The sequence below is a fragment of the Homo sapiens genome, chromosome 6 (assembly GCF_000001405.40).
Source record: "Homo sapiens chromosome 6, GRCh38.p14 Primary Assembly".
NCBI classification, from domain to species: Eukaryota; Metazoa; Chordata; class Mammalia; order Primates; family Hominidae; genus Homo; species Homo sapiens.
In genome coordinates, this window is record NC_000006.12 from 13,870,688 (window position 1) to 13,877,280 (window position 6,593).

Consider the following 6,593-nt stretch of genomic DNA (forward strand, 5'->3'; position numbering starts at 1 on the left):
CTATGAGTTATACTTCAGTGAAAAGTTTCCTTGGAACAAATGCATCTGTAATTCTCATTAATGCTTCTCAGAGCCTTACGGTAGCAAAAAAAAAATGTCCAGTGTGACAGTGTGTCCAGAATTGGTGGGTTCTTGGTCTCACTGACTTCTAGAATGAAGCCGCAGACCCTCGCGGTGAGTGTTACAGTTCTTCAGGTGGCGCGTGTAGGAGTTTGTTCTTTCTGATGTTCGGATGTGTTTGGAATTTCTTCCTTCTGGTGGGTTTGTGGTCTCACTGGCTCAGGAGCGAAGCTGCAGACCTTCGCGCTGAGTGCTACAGCCCTTAAATCGGTGCGTCTGGAATTGTTCATTCCTCCAGGTGGGCTTGCAGTCTTGCTGGCTTCAGGAGTGAAGTTGTAGACCTTCCAGGTGAGTGTTACAGCTTATAAAAGCAGCGTGAACCTAAAGAGTGAGTAGTAACAAGATTTATTGCAGAGTGAAAGAACAAAGCTTCCACAGTGCAGAAGGGGACCAGAGCGGGTTGCCACTGCTGGCTCGGGCAACTTGCTTTTATTCTCTTATCTGGCCCCATCCACATACTGCTGATTGGTAGAGCCAAGTGGTCTGTTTTGACAGGGCACTGATTGGTGCGTTTACAATCCCTGAGCTAGACACAAAGGTTCTCCACTCCCCACTAGATTAACTAGATACAGAGTGTCCACACAAAGGTTCTCCAAGGCCCCAGCAGAGTAACTAGATACAGTGTCAATTGGTGCATTCACAAACCCTGAGCTAGACACAGGGTGGTGATTGGTGTGTTTACAAACTTTGAGCTACAGAGTGCCGATTGGTGTATTTACAATCCCTGAGCTAGACATAAAGGTTCTCCAAGGCCCCACTAAAGCAGCTAGATACAGACTGTCGATTGGTGCATTCACAAACCCTGAGCTAGACACAGGGTGCTGATTGGTGTGTTTACAAACCTTGAGCTAGATACAGAGTGCTGATTGGTGTATTTACAATCCCTGAGCTAGACATAAAGGTTCTCCAAGGTCCCACCAGAGTAGCTAGATAGAGAGTGTCCATTGGTGCATTCACAAACCCTGAGCTAGATACAGGGTGCTGATTGGTGTATTTACAATCCCTGAGCTATACATAAAGGTTCTCCACGACCCCACCAGACTCAGGAGCCTAGCTGGCTTCACTCAGTGAATCTTGTACCGGGGCTGCAGGTGGAGCTGCCTGCTAGTCCCGCGCCTCTCAGCCCTTGGGTGGTTGATGGGACTGGGCGCTGTGGAGCAGGGGGCGGCGCTCGTCGGGGAGGCTTGGGCGGCACAGGAGCCCACGGAGAGGGTGGGAGGCTCAGGCATGGCGGGCTGCAAGTCCCGAGCCCTGCCCTGCCGGAAGGCAGCTAAGGCCCAGTGAGAAATCAAGAGCAGCGCCGGTGGGCTGGCACTGCTGGGGGACCCAGTACATCCTCTGCAGCCGCTGGCCTGGGTGCTAAGCTCCTCATTTCCTGGGGCTGGCAGGGCTGGCCGGCTGCTCCCAGTGCGGGGCCCGCCAAGCCCACGCCCACGCGGAACTCTAGCTGGCCCGCAAGCGCCGCGCGCAGCCCCGGTTCCCGCTCGCTCCTCTCCCTCCACACCTCCCTGCAAGCTGAAGGAGCCGGCTCCGGCCTTTGCCAGCCCAGAAAGGGACTCCCAGGGTGCAGTGGTGGGCTGAAGGGCTTACTCAAGTGCCGCCAAAGTGGGAGCCCAGGCAGAGGAGGTGCCGAGAGCGAGTGAGGGCTGTGAGGACTGCCAGTACGCTGTCACCTCTCAACAGCATATTCAAGGTGTGGTCTTGGGGTTTCAGGCAGCTCCAGCAGCATTGGCTTTGGCTTTCATTTTTTTTTTTCTTTGCTTCTGCTGAGGGTGATTCCAGGGACTTTTTAACCTCCTGTCTATACTTCTGGTTCAATCTCTTTGCACACAAGGAAGCAATTTCTACTGTACGGGAAAGGTTCATTTCCCCATGACCCCCACATTTTGTTTTTCAAGTGCTCAACAATTGGGAACAAGTTTATTGTCATCCAGGTGAGGCAGTTAAGCGGGAGTGTCACACCAGTATTTGTGAAGGAGAGGGCTTAAATATGGGTAACAGGGGAATGTGATGTGTTTATTCCGGCAACAACCTCAGACATTAAACTTCCTCTTCTGATCCTACACCACTCCTTCCCCATCACCAGTGGTTAGGCAACAGGGTGACTCTCATGGGCTGAACTGTGTTCCCCTTACCACCCACCCAGGTTTATATGTTGAAGACCCAACCCCTGTATCTCAGAATGTCACCATATTTGGAGATAAGGTCTTTACAGAGGTGACTGAGGTAAAATGAGGCCACTAGGGTGGGCCTTAATCCAATATGTGATGTCTAATGGAGAAACCAGGGGTCCTGGGGCACAGAGAAAAGACCATGAGGACATAGCAAGAAAGTGGCCATCTACAAGCCACGGAAGGGAGGTCTTGGGAGAAACCAACCCTGCCAACACTTTGATCTTGGATTTTCAGTCTCTAGAACTGTGAGAGAATCAATTTTTGTTGTTTAAGCCCCTCAGTGTGTTGACTGTTCCGGTGGCCCTAGCAAACTAATACAGTGGCCTTGTGCAGGTGAGACAGTTGAGAAAAAGAGGAAAACTGGTTTTCCCTCTTTTCCGGTGTGTGTGTGTGTGTGTGCGTGTGAGAGAGAGATTAGAGGGCGGGGAGGGGAGAAGAGAGGAAGCAAGCTAACCGGAGAGAGAGCAGGTGAGTTTTCTTTTGCAGAACAGAGTTAATGAAGTGGCAACTCTGCCTTCCCTGTGCCTTTCCTGTGAATCTGGGAATTTCCACCCGTCCCTCCCACGAAGTCCCAGTAGGATCCCTCGGGCCGGGCAGAGCCTGGCCTGCGGTCCTGCTGGCTCTTCGCCAAGCTGCCCGGTACTCGCAGGGTGATGGGCAGGGACTTGGCGGGAGGCAGAGGGACGTCGGAGGGCAGGGCGGGAGTGAGATCGCCTCTGGTTTCTGTGGAGAACTCCTGCACCTGGGTCAGGGTCTCAGCCACGGACAAGGGGCGTGGCTCTGCAGAGCGAAGCAGCAGCTCCACCCGTTCGCAGGGAGGGAGGGGGCGGAGGTGGCCTCACTGCCTGAGGGGGTCCTACCCCTCCCGAGGACGCGACGCAAAAGCCAGTAGACTCACGACGCCCCCCGCATGTCACACGACAAGGCCAGCAGGGCCGCCACCAGAGGGCACCAGCGGCTGGGACCCGCAGGAAAGGGAGGAAGAACAGGTGGCGCCGGTGAGGCGAAGGCGAGGGCACGAGGGGGTGGCCTGCGGCCCGCGCTGCTCCGGGGAGGGGCTTCCACCTGGACAGTGACGGAAGCCAGGGCGACTCAACAGGACACATTTGCACCATTTGCACGGCTGGGTGAAACGACAACCCCTCAGCTGGGCTCAAATTACCTGAAGGGCCTGCATCTACAACAGATTAGCTTTCGGTTTTCCTCCCGGGCTGCTCCTAGGGCACCCAGGGGGAGAGTTCCACAAAGTAAGAGTCATTAAAATTACCAATAAGAAGAGGAAAACTGCTACGTATTTGTTCTGATTGAGCTGAGAATCCTGAATCCCGAGAATCCTGAAATAGAATTGGTTCAGGGACCACCGTCTGACAACTATTGTGTAATCCTCCGTCACACAAACGGAAGTCTTCTTATAGGTGTGCCCTTCACTGTGTCTACAGGCTGGATTTTAGGACTAACACGAGCACCGTGCTGTAGCTTAACACAGAAAATCCCAATGTTAGGACAGAACACTACTAGCCGTAGTACAGAGGGCCACTTCATAATAATAAAACATATTTAGCAGGAAGAGAGAATACTTGCGTGCACTTAATAACAGAGCTTTGTGGTATACCAAGGAAAATGGACAGAACTATTAGGAAAAATAGACAAATCCACTCTCGTAAATATTTTAAACGCACTATATTAGATCATTCTTGCATTGCTGTAAATAAACACCGGAGACTGGGTAATTTATATAGAAAAGAGGTTTAATTGGCTCACAGTTCTGCAGGCCGTACAGCAAGCTTGTCCAACCTGTGGCGTATAGGCCTCATGTGGCCCAGGACAGCTTTGAATGTGGCCCAACACAAATTCATAAACTTCCTTAAAACATTATGAGACTTTTTTGCAATTTTTTTTAAAGCTCATCAGCTATCGTCAGTGTTAGTGTATTGCATGCGTGGCCCAAGACAATTCTTCTTCCAATGTGGCCTATGAAAGCCCAAAGATTGGACACCCCTGCTTTACAGGAAGCATAGTGGCATCTGCTCAGCTTCTGTGGAGCCTCAGGAAATTCACAGTCATGGTAGAAGTTGAAGCCGGGCAGGCATCTCACATGGCAAATGCAGAGGCAAGAGAGGGAGAGCAGGAGGAAGGTGCCACACACTTTCAAAGGACCAGGTCCCGAGTGAACTCAGCATGAGAGCTCATTGATCACCAAGGGGATGGCCCAAGCCATTCATGAGGGATCCATCCCCATGATCCAAATACCTCCCACCAGGCCCCACTTCCAACACTGGGGATGAAAATCAACATAAGATTTGGGTGGGGGGGTGGGGGACGGGCGCGGTGGCTGACGCCTATAATCCTAGCACTTTGGGGGTCTGATTCGGGTGGATCATCAGGTCAGGTGTTCGAGACCAGCCTGGCCAACATGGTGAAACCCCGTCTCTACTAAAAGTACAAATACTAGCTGGGAGTTGTGACACACCTCTGTAGTCCCAGCTACTCAGGAGGCTGAGGCAGAAGAATCGCTTGAACCAAGGAGGCAGAGGTTGCAGTAAGCTGAGATTGGGCCACTGCACTGCACTCCAGCCTGAGCGACAGGGTGAGACTCTGGCTCAAAAAAAAAAAAAAAAGATTTGGGCGGGGACAAGTCTCCAAACTATATCAGACTTTTCTCAATTATTGAAGATCGAAAGATTGTAAATCAATAAGGACATGGGTGATTTCAATACTACTACTAGAACTAATAATACTATAATATATTATAAAACCTTGCATCCAAAAGTTGGAAGATATATGTATTTTTTACCAGTACACCTGGAACATACACAAAAATTGACCATGAATGACCCATAAAACTCATCTCAACAAATTTCAGAGATCACCTATTTTGACTAGAGTGCAATTAAGGTAAAGATCAACAGGAAAAGATAACAATTCTGTGTGTTCGGAAATTAAATAAAATTCTAAATACCCAGTGAATTAAAAGGAGAAAGCATAATGAAAATTCAAAAATATTAAAAATAGAATGGTAATACTACATATCAACATTTAAGTATATAACCAAAGAGGTATTTCATGAGAAATTTTTAGCCTTATAAGGAGAAGCTGAACATTTAGAAAGGAAATAATAGAGAAGTAATGAAACAGAAAATGAAGAAACAATAGTGAGTATCAACAAAGTTAAAAGGTGGCTCATTGAAAAGACAAATTTCTGGCAATGTTAAAGAAAACCTGCAATTAGACATATGGTAATACAATTGCAAACCATCGAAGACAAAAAATGTTAAAAATGTAGTACACAAATAAGAACAAATTATACTGTCAGTAAAGGTATCAAGAGCAAAAATAGAAACCAGAAAAGAAGGAAACAATATTTTTAAAGTGCTGAAGGAAAATAACATCAATGTAGAATTGTATATCCAGCAAAACTTTTTCAATAACAAACCCGAAATATAGATTATTCTGATAAATAAAAGCTGAGTTTATCATCAACAGATTGTCACTAAGGAATTTCTAAAAGATATACCTCAAGAAGATGGACAACAACTTCAGAAGAAAGAGCCAAGATATATACTTCGGGAGGCCAAGGGAGGCGGATTGCCTGAGTTCAAGAGTTCAAGACCAGCCTGGCTAACATAGTGAAACCCTGTCTCTACTAAAAATACAAAAATTAGCCAGGTGTGGTAGTGGACACCTGTTATCCCAGCTACTTAGGAGGCTGAGGCAGGAGAAATGATTGAACCCGGGAAGCTGAAGTTACAGATCGCACCACTGCACTCCAGCCTGGGCGACAGAGCGAGGCTTCATATAAAAAAAAAGAAAAAAAAAGCCAAGATATCTAAACATAGAAAAGGTACAGTAAAAATATAGTATAAAAGATAAAAAATGGTACACCTCTAATAGGGCATGTGTTAGTTTGTTTACATTGCTTTAAAGGAATACCTGAGCTGGGCAATTTATAAAGAAAAGAGGTTTAATTGGCTCACAGTTCTTCGGGCTATCCAGGAAGCATGGCACTGGCATTTGCTTAGTTTCTGGTGAGAGCTTCAGAAATCATGGTGGAAGGCCAATGGGGAGCTGGCATATTGCATGGTGAGAGAGAGAGAGAGAGAAAGCAGGGAGGTACCACACTCTTTTAAATCACCAGATCTTGTGTGAACTCAGAGTGAGAACTCACTCATTATCATGAGAATAGCACCAACCCATTCATGAAGGATCTGACCCCATGACCCAAACATCTCCCACCAGTCCCCACCTTGAACACTGGGGATTACATTTCACCATGAGATTGGGAGGGGACAAACATCCACA

General features: G+C 48.0%; 2 annotated features.

Moving 5' to 3' along the window:
* Positions 1,549-2,131: an enhancer, noted in NCBI's record as "H3K27ac-H3K4me1 hESC enhancer chr6:13872467-13873049 (GRCh37/hg19 assembly coordinates)". NCBI's record gives its function as "activates a minimal SCP1, AML or CMV promoter by ChIP-STARR-seq in naive H9 embryonic stem cells {active_cell/tissue: H9 hESC(naive)}" and the evidence as "EXISTENCE:reporter gene assay evidence [ECO:0000049][PMID:30033119]".
* Positions 3,245-3,384: a silencer, noted in NCBI's record as "silent region_16941". NCBI's record gives its function as "represses an Ori minimal core promoter by ATAC-STARR-seq in GM12878 lymphoblastoid cells {active_cell/tissue: GM12878}" and the evidence as "EXISTENCE:reporter gene assay evidence [ECO:0000049][PMID:35858748]".